This window comes from Homo sapiens, chromosome 4 (assembly GCF_000001405.40).
Source record: "Homo sapiens chromosome 4, GRCh38.p14 Primary Assembly".
Lineage (NCBI taxonomy): Eukaryota > Metazoa > Chordata > Mammalia > Primates > Hominidae > Homo > Homo sapiens.
The window spans coordinates 142,471,054-142,490,998 of record NC_000004.12 but is presented as its reverse complement, the minus strand read 5'-3'; the positions used below and the strand labels follow the sequence as shown (position 1 = coordinate 142,490,998).

Below are 19,945 nucleotides of genomic sequence, written 5' to 3'. Positions count from 1 at the left end.
TCAAGATATGAAAGCAACCTAAGTGATCATCAATGAATGAATGGTAAAGAAAATGTATATATACACAATGAAGTATTATACTATTCAGCCTTAAAAAGTAGGAAATCCTGTCATTTGCAATAGCATGGATGAACCTGGAGGATAATATGCTAAGTGAAATAAGTCAGACACAGAAAGACAAATATTGCATGCATGATCTCTTTTATATGTGAAATCTAAAAAAGTTATAAAGTCATAAAAGCAGAGAGTAGAATGGTGGTTACCAGGGGTTTGGGTGGTAGGCTGGAGTAGAGGCATTGTGGAAATGTTGGTCCAAGGATACAAAATTTCATTTAGACAGCAGGAATAAATTCAAGAGGTGTATTGTATAATATTGTGACTATAGTTAATAACAATATATTATATTCTTGAAAATTGCTAAAATTATAAATGTTTTCACCACAAAAAATGATAATTATGAGGTAATGGATAGGTTAATTAGCTTGATTTAGCTATTGCACAATGTATACATATATCAAAACATCATATTTTACACCATAAATGTATATAATTTTTATGTGTCAGTTAGAAAGAATAAAGAAAATAAATACAATAGACCAGGCATACAGGTGGTTATTACAGGTGGTTCAGGCCTGTAATCCCAGCACATTGGGAGGCCAATGCTGGAGGATCACTTGAGACCAGGAGTTTGAGACCAGCCCCAGCAACACATCAAGACCCTGTCTCTACAAAATATATATATAAAAATTAGCTTAGGGTAGTGGCACGCATTTGTGGTCCAAGCTACTCAGGAGGCTGAGGTGGGAGCATCAATTGAGCCTGGGAGGTTGAGACTGCAGTGAGCCATGTTTGCTGTTTGTGCTCCTGCATGCCAGCCTGAGTAGCAGAGCAAGACCCTGTCTGAACAAAAAAAAAGGAAAGAAAATAATTATAATAAAACCATAAAACCAAGACCCTCCTTTCCCCCCTCCAAAAAAATGCTGTCTATAATACAAAGAGATCTATATACCTTGAAGTAAAATGATGGGAAAATACATAACATGCAAACATAATCATTAGAAAGTTGATTTAGCTATTTTACTATCAGACAAAGTGAACTTTGAGATAAGGATTATTACCTGAGAAGGAAGATAAGAAGGTCAATATATCAGATGTCATAACTATTCTACATTTGAATGTACTCTAATAACAAAGCTTAAAAATTGGCACAACCAAAGAAAGAATACACAAATGCCCATAGTATTTTTAACATTGACTCTCAGAAATTGGTAGGATCACTAGACAAAAAAGCCTAAACACCATCTACGCCAGGTGTGGTGGCTCACACCTGTAATCCCAGCCCTTTGGGAGGCCGAGGCAGGCAGATCACTTGAGATCAGGAGTTTGAGACCAGCCTGGCCAACAGGGTGAAACCTCGTCTCTACTAAAATACAAAAAATTAGCAGAGCGTAGTGGCACATACCTGTAATTCCAGCTACTCAGGAGGCTGAGGCATGAGAATTGCCTGAACCCAGGAGGCAGAGACTGCAGTGAGCCGAGATTGTGCCACTGCACTCCAGCCTGGGTGACAGAGGGAGACTCCATCTCAAAAAAACAAAAACAAACAAAAAACACCATCTATCAAATTGATCTAGTTTATATATGTAGAATACTATTCCCAACATCTCCAGAACACACATTTTTCTCAGGTACATATAGAGCACTCACCAAAATAGAGCACATGCTGGGCCATAAAAGAAGGTTTCAGTAATTTTTTAAAAATAGACATTTTGCAGAGCAGTTTTCTGTAGCTACTGTCCAGTAGATTTAAACTAGGAAAAATTAAAAGACATCTTAAAAATTATCAAATATTTGGAAATTAAGTAGTACATGACTAAATAATTTGTGGGTCAAAGAAGAAATCCCAGAGAAAATTAGAAAATGCTTCAATCTAAACAAAAATTAACACATAGATATTAAAATTTGTGGGGAGAAGCTAGAAAAGTGTTTGGGAACAAATGAACATTTTTAAATGCTTAAAATACAAAAGATAGCACACTTCATATTAGTTAACTAAGTTTTCACGTTAAAAGGCTTGAAAAGGGAGAGTAAATTAAAACCAAAGTAAGCTGAAGAAAGAAATAATAAATACTGTAATCAAATAGAAAAAGTGAAAAAAAATAAAAGACTGGAAGTTGTGTTTTTCAAAAGATCAATCAGAAGGATGCACCTCAGCAAGGCAGATTAAGAAAGAAAAGTACACAATACCAATACTGGGTTTGACAGAGAAGACAAATATGCTAAAGATATTAAGAGGAATATAGGGAGTATTATGAACAGTGACCAACTTTAGGCCAATAAATTCTATAATTTTAGATGAAATGAAGAATTCTCTTAAAAAATCACAACTTAACAAAATTGACATAAGTAAAAAACAAAATATATGAGCAGTCCTGTAACTGGTAAACAAATTACATTTGGAATTCAAAACATTCTCATAGAGAAAACTCCAGGTCAACAGGGCTTCACTGGTAAATTATAGGAAACATTTAAGGAAGAAAAAATTACAATCTTATATAAACTTTAATAAAGTATAAGCGGAATGAGCACTACACACCTGATTTTACAAAGACATCATGATTCTGTAATCAAAGATATTCAAAGAAAGTACATTCCATTATCCCTCATCAAAAGAGATAAAAAGCTCTTAACAAAATATTGGAAATCAATTTAATTATATATAAAGAGGATACTATATTATGAGCATTTGGAGTTTTTCCCAGGAATTCAAGATTGGTTCAACATTTAAAAATTAATCATGTATTGTATAACATTAGCAGAAGAAAGGAGGAAGTTCTATGATCACCTCAATGAAGGTAGAAAAAGCAACTGAAAAATTCAACATTCATTCATAATAAAAGCTCTCAGAAGTCTAGGAATGAAAAGAATTTAATCTTATGTGCACATCTATTATATAAAAACTCTACAGCAAACATTTTTAATGGTGAAATTTTGAATATTTTCCAGCTAAGATCAGAAACAGGTTGTGTCTGCTTTCTATTCAACATTGTACTGAAATCCTAATCAATGCAAAAAGATGAGAAAAAGAAGTAAAAGCCATCACAATTCCAAAGGAATAAGTAAAACTGTCTTTATTCACAGAATATATGTGTTTGCAGAAAATCTTGACAAATCAAAAAGGCAACTAAAAGTAATATGTGCGTATATAAAGACCATAGGATGCAAGGCCAATTTTATACAAATGTATTTCTGTATTCATGCAGAAACAATCTGCAAATAAATTTTAGATTAATTGTTTATAATAACATCCCCCAAACGTAAAATACTCTGGGAAATTAATAAACATGTGCAAGATTTCTACAGTGAAAACTATAAAATGTTGCTTAGAGAATTTAAGATTTTTATTTCATGTTTAATCCATGGACTAAGAAACTCAATTTTATTAGTTCTCCAAAAATTGATATATAAATTTAATGTAATTTCAATCAAAATACTGACAGATTTTGGGGGGCTAGGGTAGAAATTGACAAGCTAATACTAAATTTATATAGAAATCCACAGGATCAAGAATAGACAAACGTTTTGAAGAAGAACAAAGTTAGGGAATTTGTATTCTCTACTTTCAAATTTTACTATAATGCTTCTGTAATCCAGACATTGTGGTACTAGCATAATGTATTAGTCCATTTTTACACTGCTCATAAACACATACCTGAGACTGGGCAATTTACAAAAGAAAGAGGTTTATTGGACTTACAGTTCCATATGGCTGGGGAGGCTTCACAATCATGTTAGAAAGCAAGGAGGAGCTAGTCACATCCTTGCTGCCTGGATGGCAGCAGGCAAAGAGAGAGCTTGTGCAGAGAAACTCCCGTTTTTAAAACCATCAGATCTCATGAGACTTATTCACTATCATGAGAATATCACAGGAAAGACCCACCCCCGTGATTCAATCTTCTTTCACCGGGTCCCTCCCAAAACACGTGGGAATTATGGGAGCTACAAGATGAGATTTGGGAGGGGACACAGAGCCAAACCATACCACGTAAGTATAGACAAATCAGTCAGTAGTCCAAAATACAATGTCCACAAGAGACCTGTATATAGTGGTCAGTTGATTTTTGCATAGGCATCAAGGCATTTACTGAGGAAATTCTTAGCAATAAATATTTTTAGAACAACTGGATAAACCTATGCAACAAAATGAACACCAGCTTTTATTCTCACTAGATAAATTATTTTCCAAATTGCAAGAGCTAAAATATAAAACTTTAAAAAAGAAAACAAAATAGACTATTTTTCTAATGCTGTACAGCAAATAATTTCTAACATATGACTTAAAAAGCACAAACCGTAAGTGGAAAACTGATAAATTAGAGTTTCTATATATAAAAAACTTCTGATTTTTGAAAGAAACCATTAAGAAAATTAAATGGCAAGCCACAGATTAGGAGAAAATATTTCTGACAAAAATATATATTTGACAAAAGATTGTATCCAGAATATAATAGTGACTCCTATCCCACAATAATAGAAAATAAACTTCCTAGTTAAAAAAAGATTTGAATAGTTCTCAAATAAAGATGTAACAAATGGGTGATAAGCATGATGAAAATGCTTAAAACTAAAAGTCACAAGAAAAAGCAAATTAAAGCCACAGTTACAACTACATATGGATGGAATATCTAAGATTAAGAAGTCTAAATGTTGGTGAGAATGTAGAACAAATGGAATTCTTATACTTTGCTAGTGGGAGTAGAAAATGGTACACCACTTTGGAAATTCCTAAATCTTGGTAGTTAGTTTATTGGAATATAAGTTTATTTCTTTTCATATAAATTCCAATCTGGCTATTGCTGGTAGCTAGAAGGCTTTCTATATAGTCACACAGGGATCTAGGATCCTTTCCTCTTGTGAATCGGCACTTCTTGTCTTCCTCATTCAGCTAATGGAGAGGGAAGGAGAACATGGAGGATAGTATAGAGGGGTTTTGTAGGCCAGACCCAGAATAAATGTATGTAACATCTACCTGCACTCTGTCAGCCAGATCTCAGTCACCTAATTGCACAGAAGGCTGGGAAGCATTGTTTACATGTGTGTAAAGGAGCAAAGGGGAAAGGATTTGGTGACTGGCCAATCGTAGCCTTATTCGTAGTGCTATTTAATAATGGGTGTATGTGGGAGGTAATTTGTATAATGAGAACACTAGTTTATGCGTGTAATTACCAGTTCTAGTAGTAAATTCATGTTACCTTGGACAAGAAATTTTTTAAATGGTAGATTAAGAGCATAGCTTAGAGTCACATTTGTTCAGTTCCTTATTTCTTAACCTGAGCCTTTAATTAAACCAGTTTGTGCAATGGATCTTACAAAACAGGAAGCTATTTATGTATTTTCTAGTTCTTAGAGATTAAACTTTTACTTCCGTAAAGTAGAAGTCATAATATTTGCCCATATTCATACTAGTTTTGTCCTGAAGATCAAAGTAGATAGAGTCTCTGAACTATCAAAACTACATTATGAAAAATGAATTATTTTCCTTCTTAGCTGACAAAGGAGTATTGATCTATGTAATGCTGACATAAATTCAGATCTTGGAAAACAGAGCCCTTGTAGAATGAATATCATTATTTGTTGCTTTTTGTGGCTCAGAGATGAAGACTATTAGCCTAAAAGCTAAATACTTAAGGTTGGTTGGTTGGTCTTTTTTATGAGAAAATTTTCACTCCAAAGAAGTGTTCCTAAAAAGGTTTAAATGAAGATTGAGACTATGCTGGATTCTGATTGCTTTGTTCTCTTCTCTCAGCTTTCTGGCCTAAGATCAAAGTCTCTTCTTTCAAAGCAACTTTGTATCTCCCTTAATGTCAGGTTAAAAAATTTATTGGTGCATGCTTTCTCTGGAGGCTACTTCTATTCCCTAGAAAGAAGCAAACTAATCTCCTAAAATCCCATGCAGAACAGGGATTCTCTGATGAGTGGTCAGATATTTCTGCTTTTGTGCACCCAAGGACAAATTAAAATTCTGAAAACTTCAGTTTCCTTTTGCTTATACAGATATTTTAAAAATATAGAGCATTATTAGTCAAAAACGAAATACAGGACCCCTATTTGCAATTGTTTTTATAACATCTAAACAAAGTAGACCTTTTTCTGAGGATTTCCTTAATAAATGATGAGAAAACGTGGACACATAGAGGGGAATAACACACACAGGGACCTGTCGAAGGGTGGAGAGTAGGAGGAGGGAGAGATTCAGGAAAAATAACTAATGGATACTAGGCTTAATACCTAGGTGATGAAATAATCTGTACAACAAACTCCCATGACACACGTTTACCTATGTAACAAACATGCACATCCTGTACATGTACCTATGTACTTAAAAGTAAAAAGAAAATAATAATAAGTAAAAGTGTTCTGTTTCAGAAAATTACATATCAGCTATTGTTTAAATTGCTTTTTAAAAATATTTTGGAATATTTTGATAAATTGATGATGTATCAAGACCCTTCTAATTCTAGTGTTTCATTGCCAATGGAAGTCTTACAGGATGGTTTCTGGAGGTTGTGGCTTTCAACCTTAAAGATAAGCTATATACAAGCTTTTCTTTAATAACTGTGTATGACTTAATTTTTCATAAATTTCACACATTTTTATATGCATGTATATTTCCAGAATATTCTTAATTGGTGTTAAAAAATACTAATAATTTTATTTTTTCAAAGCATATTTCTTTGCCCTGATACTTTGAGATTTGTTGAGCAAATCTGTATTAATTGGTAAGTTATCTTAATTTTCAAGTTGCTCATTTTTATATTGTTGTTCTTCTACAGCTTTCGTTTCCAAGTTAGCAAAGTCATACCATTTTAACCTGGCTGCAGATGATAGCTCTCACACTTCATTTGCCTGTTTTAGGTGTTCCTTTCTGCATCTTCTTTAATTGTAAATATTCTTCTTAAGTTATAGTGATATGAAGTGTACATGATATCCCAGGACAGGAAAAGTTTTTTTTTATTTTTGCATTAATCCTCTCATGATGCATAACAGTCTCTAGCTCTTACCAACTTCTCTCTCACCAACATCCACCAGGACCCATGCAGCCATCTAAGGATCCCAGATTCCATCCACCTCTTTCTAATTAATTCAGAGCCCTGGATCCTGTGGATATATTTTCTTTCCATTATCACATTTTCCTTTAATATCCAAGTAACAATAACTTTCAGTACTCACTCAACACGATAGCAAGAAATTCAGGTCCCTTTGTAAGAATTTCTGATAATCCCCAGTGAGTATTTTTGAATTCAATAAATCTATTCTGGTTGCTGCTCATCACTTCAGATAAGGCATCTTCCCAGCTTCCTCTAATCATATCATTTCTTTCATCCTGTCTTAGCTCTCTGCCTCCCAGTTTGATCTAAAATATGTACACAGGCTCTACATGCATCCATAAAGCACACAATTTCAAGTTTACACAATTGACTAAGACCTAGAGAAACTATGATGCAAAAATGAAAACCTGAAACTGAATATCAGATATCACTGCCCCTTTCGTCCATTAGTAATATCCACTCACAGAGAGTTCGGGGGAGCTATCATGGCAAAGTGGTAAAGATCTTAGCTAAATAAACTGGTTGCCACTATTACTTTTTTGAGAATGTTCAGCACAATGTCTGAACAGAATTACACTCAACAAATGGAGGTTGCTGCTGTGATGTTAGCACCATGATTGTGTGCTTTGAATATCTAACTAACGCCATTGTGAGACCCTTGGCATTGACCTATTGAATGCAAAAAAAAAAAAAAAAAAAAAAAAAAAGCATAGCCTGACTCCAGTCATTATTACTCATTCCTATTATTATGGACATTTTTATTTTTGTATCACTGGGGACAATTACATACCTCCAAATAATTCTTTTGCAGACTCCTTATTTTGGGGGGACTATGCATAAAGAAGAAGCCAAAAACTAACTTCATATTATAATCTTTGTCCATACTAAAGAAATTTTTATGTCATTAAATGAAATATTGCATTATGTATTCATAGATAATCTTATATATGACAGTCATTATTTCAAACTCTGGAAATAAAATTATTTTAAAATGCACATGATCTCTTCTCCTTATAGAATTTACAACCCAATGGGAATTGTAAACTCTTCATTAATGAATCACACAAATAAATATATGCTATGAGACAAAGGAGAAGTACTAGATGCTGTGGAAGCAAATAATGGAGAATTAGACCAAGTCAAAAAGGTCAGGAAAGGCTTTAATCTCAGTACAAAGCATTGGCGTATGACTTACTCCTCTGGTTTATGGCTGCCATAATAGAAACTGATACATACAGAGCCTGTTTTATGTGCTTCAAAGTACTAATCAGTGTCTCTTAGAGAAAAGAGAGTCCACCACAAATACAAATTCTTTTACTTTGGAGTTATTAAATAATCAGAAATATTTAGCGTTGAAGTTCTAAGGAGGGATGGTGATCAATACATTTTGTTTTATTTTCCCTTCATGTTTTGGAAGCAACTGATTAGTAGGCATGGGAATCAGGCAAATGAAGTTCTGCATAACAGCTTTATTAAGGTTAAAAGCTTAATTGGATAATATGATATACTTGATGCTTTCTAATATTTCATTCTGGAATTAACTTATCTACCCAGACAGATAGGCTTCCTGTGTGGAGCAGAGTTCACTGTTATGGGCTTACCATACATAGGAAGCAATAAAGGAAGGTAGTTTCTTGAGAGTAAAACAGAGAAGCCCAAATGAGTAAGAAGGGAAGAGAAGGACAAGAGTGTTCTCTAGTGGAGTTCTATTAGCAATATATATAAAATTCCTAAGGAATGGAAGACTCCCACCCCCAGCCATGTTCTCTTTCTTTCCTTCATGCATTTAGACATAACAGTCAAACCCTATGGCTCACCAGTGTTAAATGTGGCCCTTATGGGAAAGAGACTGTTGGTTCCCAGGAAGTCCTGCTCTCTATTCATGAAATTGAGAATAGCACAGCTACTTTGTGTATCTGGCAGGGAGTTTGGCTTTTAATTCTATAGCTGCATTGTCCAATAAATTAGCCACCAGCCACTTATGGCTATGTAAACTCAAATTACATAGAAGTCCAGTTCCTTATTAACACTAGGTACATTTCGGTGGGAAATAGCCAGTTCTCAATAGCTAGTTAATACTAGAACGGAACAGATTATAACATATTTGCACTATCACAGAACCATCTATTGGCTAGCACTACTCTAGAGGGCACTGAAAAAGTGAGCTCCAGGACCTTGCTGTACCTTATGCCAAAGCCCATTTACTTTATTTTTTATCCCAAATTATACCTAGCCACATGCCAATATGTTTCAAGAGAGTTAATACAACTATAACACATAACAAATATGCTTTGATAATACAAATTCAATAAATAATTTATAAAAATATTATAAAATCTCTAACAAAGGAGAAATTATATCCAAAGATAAAGCTAAAATAAATAATTAAATAAATAAACTTCTAAATGTTCCTTCCCTCAATTTCTCACTCTGTGCAGTCTCATTAGAGGGATTCCTCTCAGAAGCATGGATAGAGTTAGGTGCTTTTAGTGGTTGTAGGGGTTTGTAATAGTGTAGTTAGGACCCTATGTTCTACCTGGTGATTTTTTCTGTTTTCCTTTTTCACCCTTTTCAGGCCTTAAATAAATGTTGTGTCTTTAGGGGTACCGGAAATATTTTCTTCTACCTCTCCCTTTTTCTAAAGGAGAAAGATCAGCTTCTAGTGTTCATTCCCCTACTGTTCTCTCACTCATTTGTAGTAGGTTCAGAAGAGGATTAAACAGTTTAATCTACTTTTTTTTTTTTTTTTTTTTTTTGAGACAGAGTCTCGCTCTGTTGCCAGGCTGGAGTGCAGTGGTGCGATCTTGGTTCACTGAAACCTCTGCCTCCAGAGTTCAAGTGATTCTCCTGCCTCAGCCTCCCGAGTAGCTGGGACTATAGGTTCGTGCCACCATGCCCAGCTAATTTTTATATTTTTAGTAGAGACGGGGTTTCACCATCATTTCTGATGAGGATTTTCACCTTTTATTATGTGACTATAAAAATAACACCCTTAGACATTCCCTTTTCTATATGACTTTTGTGCCAAAGATATTTCTGCTACTTTTCATCCAAAACTACTTTCGTCTTGGATCCCTATTGTCTAGCTTCCCTGAAGTGCCTGCTGCTTATAATCACCACACTCTTCTGATTATCCTCTTGTCTTCAGCTATTTTAGATGCCAATTTTACTAAAGACCTTATTTATCATCAACTCATTCGCTTTACCCACTTCATTATTTAGATACTAGAATTTGTATGGAGAAATGCATGCTACCTGCCTTGGACCCATTGAGCCTCATAAAAATTTAACTATAGTGGACTACGGTGGAGATGGCCAGATGGCCAGCAGAGATCCTTGTTTTTTTCCAAGTTGTATAATTGACTTCTCAGACTACCTTGCACCCAGTTGAGTAATGAGACACTTACAGACATGGCCTGTAAAGTACTCATTTTCCCTCATTCCTAGTCTCCTGGCTGGATGCCCATATTGAGTGTGACTAAGTGACCTGTCTGCAGTGTGGTGGGGTCTCTCTCAGGCTGAGTTTCTGAAAAACTTCATAAAGCTGAAAGGATCCTCCCCACCCTCCTGCCTCTGTCAGGCAAAAATTGGATCTATGAATTGATAACATAAACCTAAGTGACTGAGATTTTGTGGTTAGCTATTACTAAAACTAGAATTTACCATAACATATACAAACTAAAAACAATTTGAACAACTCAATTAGGAGAAAGGATTTCCAATTAGTATAAGTATAGGTTTTGCAGTCATTTATGTCTTTGCAATCTTTCTATATTTGGCACATGTAGATCTGTTGCTTTCCAAAAGCAGAAAAAAATGACTATCTGGAGTGACAATCAGAAGGATAACTAGTGATAGTCTATTTTGATTTCAACTGCAATTAATACTTTCCCTGTACATTAGTTAAGAAGGAAATATTCTTTCTTAACTTTTATTTTAGGTTCAGGGGTACATGCGCAGTGTTATATAGATAAAGTACATTCCAAGGGGTTTTGGTGTACAGATTATATCATCAACCAGGTAATAAGCATAGTACCTGATAGGTGGTTTATCAATCCTCTCCCTCCTCCCACCCTCCATTCTCAAATAGGCCCCAGTATCTATTCCCTTCTTTGTGTCCACGTGTACTCAATATTTAGCTTCCACTTAAAAGTGAGAATATGTGGTATTTGGTTTTCTGTTCCTGCATTAGTTCGCTTAGGATTATGACTTTCAGCTCCGTTCATTTGCTGCTTAGGACATGATCTCATTCTTTTTTATAGCTGTATAGTATCCTATGGTATATATGTACCATATTTTCTTTATCTAGTCTACTGTTGATGGGGATTTAGGTTGATTCCTTGACTTTGCTATTGTGAATAGTGCTCCAATGAACATTCATGTGCATGTGTGTTTATCGTAGAATAATTTATATTTATTTGGGTATATACCAAATAATGAGCCTGCTGGGTCAATTGTTACTTCTGTTTCAGGTTCTTTGAGAATCACCACACTACTTTCCACAATGGTTGAATTAATTTACATTCCCACCAGCAGTGTCTAAGTGTTGTCTTTTCTCTGCTAATTCACCAGCATGTTATTTTTTTGACATTTTAATAGCAATTCTGTCTCATGTGAGATGGTGTCTCTTTGTGGTTTTGATTTGCATTTTTCTAACAATTAATGATGTGGAGCATTTTTTTCATATGTTTGTTGGCCACAGGTATGACTTCTTTTGAAAAGTGTCTGTTTGTATCCTTTGCCCACTTTTTAATGAGTTTGTTTCTAGCTTGTAAATTTGTTTAAGTTCCTTATAGATGCTGGATATTAGACCTTTGTCAGATATATAGTTTCCAAATATTTTTTCCCCTTCTTTAGGTTGTCTGTTTACTCTGTTGATAGTTTCTTTTCTGTGCAGAAGCTCTTTGGTTTGATTAGGTCTCATTTGTCAATTTTTGTTTTTGTTGCAATTGCTTTTGTTGTCTTCATCATGAAAACCTTGCTGGTTATCCTCCAGGGTTTTTATAGTTTTAGGTTTTACATTTAAGTCTTTAATACATCTTGAATTGATTGTTGCATATGGTGTAAGGAAGAGATCCAGCTCATTCTATGAGGCCAGTATTATTCTGATATCAAGACCTGGCAGAATCACAGCAGAAAAAAGAAAACTTTAGGCCAATATCCTTGATGAACATAGATGCAAAAATCTTTAACAAAATACTAGAAATTGAATCCAGCAGCACATCAAAAAGCTAATCTACCATGATCAAGTAGGCTTTATCTCTGGGATGCAAGTTTGATTTAACATATAGAAATCATTAAATTTGATTCATCACATAAACCGAACTAAAAACAAAAACCACATGATTATCTCAATAGATGCAGAAAATGCTTTCAATAAAATTCAGCATCCATTTACATTAATAACTCTCAACCAACTAGGCATTGAAGGAATATACCTAAAAATAATAAAATAATACCTAAAAATAATAAAAGCCATTTATGACAAACTCACAGCCAACATCATATTGAATGGGCAAAAGGAGAATTCCCCCTGAGAACAGGAACAAGAAAGATTCCCGCTCTCATCACTCATTCAATATAATATGGGAAGTTCTAGTCAGAGCAATAAGTAAGAGAAAGAAATAAAAGTCATCCAAATAGGAAGAGAGGAAGTCAAACTAGCTGTTTGCAGGCTTTATACATCTATACCGAAAAAACTTCAGTCTCTGCCCAAAAGCTCCGAGATCTGATAGATAAACTTAGCTACATTTTAGAATACAAAATCAGTGCACACAAATCAGTAGAATTGGCCAGGTGCAGTGGGTGCCTATAACCCCAGCATACTGGGAGGCCTAGGTGAGCGGATTGCTTGAGCTCACGAGTTCAAGACCAGCCGGGGCGACATGGCAAAACCCCATCTCTACTGAAAATACAAATATTAGCTAGGTGTGGTGGTGCATACTTGTAGTTCCAGCTACTCAGGAGGCTGAGGTGGGAGGAGTCCCTTCTCTTTAATTTTTTGGAATAGTTTCACTACAAATGGTATCAGCTCTTCTTTATATATCTGATAGAATTTGTCTGTGAATCCATCTGGTCCTGGGCTTTTTATGTTTGGTAGGATTTGTATTACTGATGCAATTTCAGAACTCATTATTGGTCTATTAAGAGATTAAATTTCTTCCTGGTTCAATCTTGGAAGCTGTATGTTTCCAGGAATTTAGCAATTTCTTCCAGGGTTTTAAGTTTGGGTGTATAGAGTTTTTCATAGTATTCTCTGAGAGTTTTTTGTATTTCTGTGAGGTCAAGTGGTAATGTCTCCTTTGTTGTTTCTTATTGTCTTTATTTGGATCTTCTCTCTTTTTTCTTTATTAGTGTAGTAAGTGGTCCTTTATTCTTATTTATTTTTCAAAAAGCAACTTCTGGATTTATTTTTTTTTCATCCCAGTTTCCTTCAGATCAGCCCTAATTTTGCTTATTTCTTCTCTTTTGCTAGTGTTGGGGTTGGTTTGCTCTTATTTCTCTAGTTCCTCTAGGTTTGATGTTAGATTTTTAATTTGAAATCTAACTTTTTGATGTGGGCATTTAGCACTATCAAATTCCCTCTTAACACTGCTTTAGCTGTGTCCCAGAGATTCTGATAGGTTGCACTTTTATTCTTATTAGTTTCAAAGAATTTCTTGATTTCTGTGCTCATTTCATTGGTTACCAAAAGGTCATTTAGGAGCATGTTGTTTAATTTCCATGTAACTGTATGGTTTTGAGCAATTCTCTTAATATTGTTTTCTATTTTTATTGTGCAGTGGTACAAGAGTGTGTTTGGTATGATTTCACTGTCTTTGAATTTGCTGAGTATTGGTTTATCACCAATTGTGTGGTTGATTTTAGAGTATGTGCCATGTTCCGATGAGAAGAATGTTTTGGGATGGAGAGTATTCTAGATGGTATTAGCCCCATTTGGTCAAATGTCAAGTTCAGGTCTTGAATATCTTTGTTACTTTCCTGCCTTGATAATCACTCTCATACTATCTGTCAGTGGGGTTTTGGAGTCTTTCACTATTATTGTGTGGTTGTCTAAGACTCTTCTTAGGTATCTAAGAACTTGCTTCATGAATCTGGGTGCTCCTGCATTGGGTGTGTATACATTGGATAGTTAGGTCTTTTTGTTGAATTTGACCCTTTACCATTTTGTAATGCCCTTATTTGTCATTTTTGATCACTGTTTGTTAATGTCTGGTTTATCTGAAATTAGAATAGCGACCCCTGCTTTTTTCTGTTTGCTTGGTAGATATTTCTCCATCCCTTTTCTTTGAGCTTATGGGTGTCACTGCATGTGAGATGGGTCTCTTGTAGACAGCACAGTTGGGTCTTGTTTCTGTATCCAACTTGCCACTCTGTGCTTTTTAATTGGAACATTCAGTCCATTTACATTTAAGGTTTGAGCCTGTCCTTGTGTTGTTAGCTGGTTATCATGCAGACTTGATTGTGTGGTTCCTTTACAGTGTCAATGGTTTATGTACTTAAGTGTGTTTTTGTGGTGGCTGGTAACAATCTTTCCTGTCAAGATTTAGCACTCTCTTAAGAACCTCTTATAAGGCAGGTCCGGTGGTAATAAATTCTCTTAGCATATACTTTTCTGAAAAGTATCTTATTTCTTCTTTGCTTATGAAGCTTAGTTTGGCTAAATATGAAATTATTGGTTGGAATTTCTTTATTAATGCTGACTATTGTCCTCCAGTCTGTTCTGGCTTGTAGGTTTCAGCTGAAAGGTCTGCTGTTATCCTAATGGAGTTCTCTTTGTAGGTGACCTGTCCCTTCTCTCTAACTGCCTTCAATATTTTTCCTTTCATTTCAACATTGAAGAATCTGATAATTATGTCTTGGGGATGGTCTTCTGGTGTAGTTTTTCACAGGGATTCTCTACATTTCCTGGATTTAAATGTTTGCCTCTCTAATAAGGTTGAGGAAATTTTGTGAATGATATCCTCAAATGTTTTGCAAGTTGCTTACTTTGTGCTTCTCTCTTTCAGTGATGCCAATGAGTCATAGATATGATCTCTTTACATAATCTCATATTTCTCAGAGGTTTCATTCTTTCTTCTCTGTTGGTTTTGTTTGTTTGTTTTTTGTCTGAGTTAATTTAGAGAAACCGTCTTTGAACTCTGAGATTCTTTCCTCCTCTTGGTTGATTTTGCTGTTAATACTTGCAATTGTACTATAAAATCGTTGAAGTGGATTTTTGACTTCTATCAGCTCAGTTTGGTTCTTTCTTAAAATGGCCATTTTACCTTCTAGTTTCTGTACCATTTTATTATATTTCTTAGATTCATTGAATTGGGTTTCTTCTTTCTTTTGAATGTCGATAATCTTCATTCCAATCCATATTCTGAACTCTATTTCTGACATTTCAGCCATTTCAGCCCAGGTAAGAACCATTTCTGGGTAAGTAGTATGGTTGTTTAGAGGTAAGAAGGACACTCTGCCTTTTTGAGTTGCCAGAATTTTGCACTGTTTTTTTTTTCTCATCTGTGTGAGCTGATATTCCTTCAGTCCTTGAAGTTGCTGTCCTTTAGATGTTTTTTTGTTTGTTTTGTTTTGTTTTTGTTTTGTTTTTTGGGGGTTTTTTGTTTATTTGCTTTTATATTCTGTGATGCCCTTGCAAATTTGCTTGTGGTATGAGTTCAGTCGACTAGTTTTGATTCTATTCTACTCCTGGGTCTTGGAGGTGTCCCCTCCAGTTATTGTCTCTATGCCCAAATTTCTTTTATTAAGTGTTCTGATCAATGGGGCTCTCTCAGGCAAGGGCCACAGTTGGCAGACAGGCCATATCTTTTCTGGGTCAGTTCTAATCTGCTGTAGTTGTGCTTCCTGGGAGATCACAAGGTTGCACCTGCCCACAGAGTGCAGACGGAAGCAAAACTGCTGGTCTAGAAACTCTAGCAGGTGTGGCCTATCTGGCTATGACAGGTGGGTGTGAGTGGAGTTTCTTACCTTACCATCCAGGTGGTTTCTGGGGCAATAGGAGGCTGTGGTCTTTGGCAAATTTAAGTAAAAGTAAAACCACTGGGCTGGAAGCTCTAGCAGGTGTGGCTTGCCTAGCTAAGAGAGGTAGGGGCAGGTGGAGTCACTTATCCAGCCATCTGGATGTTTCTCCAGACAACAGGTGGCTGTGCTCTCCGGCTGAGTTCACATAGAAGTGGGACTGCCGGGCTGGAAGCTCTAGTAGGCGTTGACTGCCTGGCTACCAGCAGCAGGAGTCAGTGGGGTAGTCTGCCCTACTGTCTGGGTGTTTTCCTGGGCAACAAGAGGTTGTGCCCTCCAGCTAGGTTCACACAGAAGTAGGACTGATGGGCTAAAAGCTCTAGTTGGTGTTGCCTGCCTGGATACCAGCAGTGGGAGTGGGTGGGGTCACTCACCCTGTGGTTACTCACCCTGTGGTCACCTACCCTGCTCTACAGGATTTTCTCAGGACAACAGGAGGCTGTGCCTGCCTTCTGAGCTCAGACAGCAGAAGGATCACTGGGCTGGAAGCTCTAACAGGCATTGCCAGCCTAGCTACCTGCAGTTTGAGGCAAGGGCAGGGTCACTTACCCTGCTGTCTGAATGTCTCCTGGGACAACAGGAGGCTGCACTCACTGGCTGAGTTCAGACAGAAGAGGGATCATCGGACTGGAAGCTCTGGCAGGTATGGCTAGCCTGGTTACCCGTAGTGAGAATGGAGAGGGCCACCTGCCCAGCTACACAGATGTTTCCCAGGACAACAGGAGGCTGTGTCCACTGACAGTTCAGACAGAAGTGGAACCACTGGACCGGAAGCTCTAGCAAGTGTTGCCCACCTGGCTACTAGTGGTAAGGGTGGGTGGGGTCTCCTGCCCTGCAGCCCGGATGTTTCCTGGGACAACAGGAAGCTATGCCTTAAGGCTGAGTACACACAGAAGCAGGAGCACTAGACCAGAAACTAGCAAGCATTGTCCACCTGGCTATCCAAGGCAAGGGTGGGTGGGGTCACCTGCCTTGTCATCTGGGTGCTTCCCGGGATAACAGGAAGCTGCACTTTCCAGCTGAGTTCACAGGGAAGTGAGTCTGCTGGGCTGGAAGTTCTAGCAGGTGTTTCCCATCTGGCTATCTGTGGGGGTCATGGAGTCACCAGCCCTGCTGTCTGGGTACTTCCAAGGACAACAGGAGGTGGTGGCTGCCAGCCAAGTTATGGCAGAAGTGGGACCGCTGGACTAGAACCTAACATGGGACCTTGTCCAGTGAGCTGGGTGGAGCAATCTTACTGCTCTCAGGCACCAAACTGCGACCTCTGTTGGGGCTATTGTGCTGGTGATGGTCTGCTCTGGGGCCAAAGTCTTTTAGAGTTCCCCTTGCACTTTGAGAGTTGCCTCCAGAAAACATCTGCCTCAGTCTAGAAGCATGGTGGGGGGCCGTGGAGTGGGCCAAAGGGATGATCTCATTCCCAGTCTTGCATTTGTCCCTGTAGGCAGTGTGTATCCCCAAGAGGGGTCTTACTCATCCTTTTCCATTTTGGAGAGGTTCTGCTGACTCTACATTAAGCCCAGACAGGGTGGTGTCCTGCTTTGCTCCTTTCTGCTCTCTGCGTTCCTCTGCTGCCTTGATGGATTCTGATGTGGTTGCTCAGATGATCAGCCTGCAGGGTCAGTGTTCACTAGCCCTTTTGTTTCCTCTAGAAGTAGCACTTGTTAGCGGCTTCTAGTCTGCCATTTTGGCCTTTCCCCCAAAAAGGAAATATCAACTACAAATCAGATGACACTGATCAGTTTTATTAATTTTACTTAGTCATGTAGCTAATGTCCTAAGGGATCTAATCTTTATTAGAAATCAAGTCATCAAATGTTGAGAGTCTAAATTGTCTTTATTATTTAATTTATCTGAGAGACCTTGATTTTGTTGGTAACAGGATTTAGGAGCAGTACCAAGACTGATAATTGGTATTCCCAGAGTTCTAGTTTTGTGTAGTTTTTACTATTTTGTTTTGGGTAGCTACTTCAAGAAAAATTCATAAAGTAGAAAAGTTTTTCTTTTCAAAATACAAATGTCTGCATTTTGTATTGGATTCCAAATTTCCTTTTAAACTATGACCTCATGCAAGTTTGTATTCTTCTGATGGGGGGTCAAAGAAATAATGATCTGAAGAGATACAGTGCCTCTGATTTAGTAATTCACATCTTTGCTTTGGAGAAACAGGTGGCCTACGGAAATCATAGATTGATACAGACTCAAAGGAAAAAATTTGTGCAAGTAGGTATAAGAATCTTTTGAGATGGGGAGCTATGTAATAATTCTGAGGCACTGGTATTGGGGATCTAAAATGGGAACATAAAGAATATTCATATATTGGAGATACATTTGGGGAAAAATATTTCAGAAATATATTTTCTTTTTCAGTATTAAAGAGGAACTTTTAACAGTCATATAATCAAGAGACAGAATGTCTGCTTTTCTTCCAGAGATAGTACTTACTGGGTTCGGTATCACTGACAATGACAACTTGGTCAGGGTATGGGGTAAAGGTAATTGAAATAGCAGATGGGTAATTGGACACAATGACTTTTTTTTTTTTTTCCTACAATGATCTTTACAGTACTTTTGTAGCTTAAGATTCTGAGATATGCATTTTTTTCATTTGATGCTATAAGCTACTGAAGATAAATTAATTGTTCAGATTTTCTTTTTTTCTTCATAAATGTATTATTTTCTCTTTACTAAGTAAGACATACTTTTCCAAAGAATTTAAGAATTCCTAGAAATGTTCAACAAAGTGAAAATTTCACTGTAGTTTTGCCACCTGTACAGTCAGGTATACTCCAGCTAGTTTAAAGGAAAAAGGAATTCCTTTGAAAACATTAAGCAGGGTGAACTTACTCAATAAGCGTACTGCTAAGGCCCACAGTGCTTTCAAAATCTGAAAAAAAATAATTTGTAGGTTGAAAGATTTTTATTCCATATTAATATATCTTTATACCAATGCAGTCATAAAATATTATTATATAACATATACGTGTGTGTGTGTGTGTGTATACTATGGAGGAAGGGGCTGGTGAAGGCAAAAGTGCCTAGGATCCACTAAAATCCTAAAGAACAGAGGCTCAGGCTTGGATTGCGGGTGCTCAGGCTTGGATTGCGGGTGCTCAGGAGCTCCAACCCCAGCTAAATACACACGAGCACTGCTCCAAAGAAATCTCACTGTGACTGCTGCTAGCACAGGTATCTCTGCCTACACTGCTGATGCTGGGCCTCAGGGCAGAACCTCTGCCCCCACTGTCTTGACAGCTGGCAAAGGCGTCATTTCTCAGAATGGGTTGCCAGATGGATTCTTTTTCTGAGCTGAAGTCTTGAACAATGGTATCAGAAAAGCCTAGGCCATATATTTGTTCTGTATGTATAAGGAAGACTAAGAAGTGGATTTCTAGCATCCGTCTTGGTGATGTGTGAACTTGTAAGGTGGGATGTTTCCTTGACGTAGGAGAGATGTTCCAAATGTTTTGGACAGCCAAATCCACCAAACAAAAATAACTACTGCCAACACATTGACGTATTTGCATTTAGACTTTCTGGTATGCTAGGTTTTGTTTTCATTTAATGCTTTAAAAAAAAAGCTATAGCTGTAGAAACATGAACACTTACTGTGAGATAGGTATAGCTAACATTGTTTGAATTATCTATTTTGATCGTTAATTAAAAATAACAGCATTTGGTGATAGCCAGTATTGTCATTTTCCCATTTTATAGATGAAAAAAGCAGACTTAAAAAAGGTAACTTCTTCACGGAGATAAAGTTAAAGAATAGTAAGATGGAATTTTACACGGAGTTTTACCTGCTACACAAACCATAG

At 36.8% G+C, this 19,945-nt stretch overlaps 1 protein-coding gene across 36 annotated transcripts in view; it reads left to right on the top strand.

Moving 5' to 3' along the window:
- The window catches only part of INPP4B (inositol polyphosphate-4-phosphatase type II B), an 823,376-nt gene that overhangs the window by 355,537 nt on the left and 447,894 nt on the right, over positions 1-19,945 (top strand). For 14 of the 36 annotated variants that reach the window (NR_169617.1, NR_169615.1, XR_007057981.1 and 11 more), the window contains exon 1: positions 16,578-16,773. The exons of 17 other annotated variants lie outside the window; for them this stretch is intronic. The gene's annotated coding sequence lies outside the window, so the exon portion shown is untranslated. Of the gene's footprint in view, positions 1-15,252; positions 15,514-16,577; positions 16,938-19,945 lie in introns of those variants that run through there. 5 more of the 36 variants (NM_001385344.1, NM_001385348.1, XM_047416353.1 and 2 more) reach the window with 2 other exon arrangements.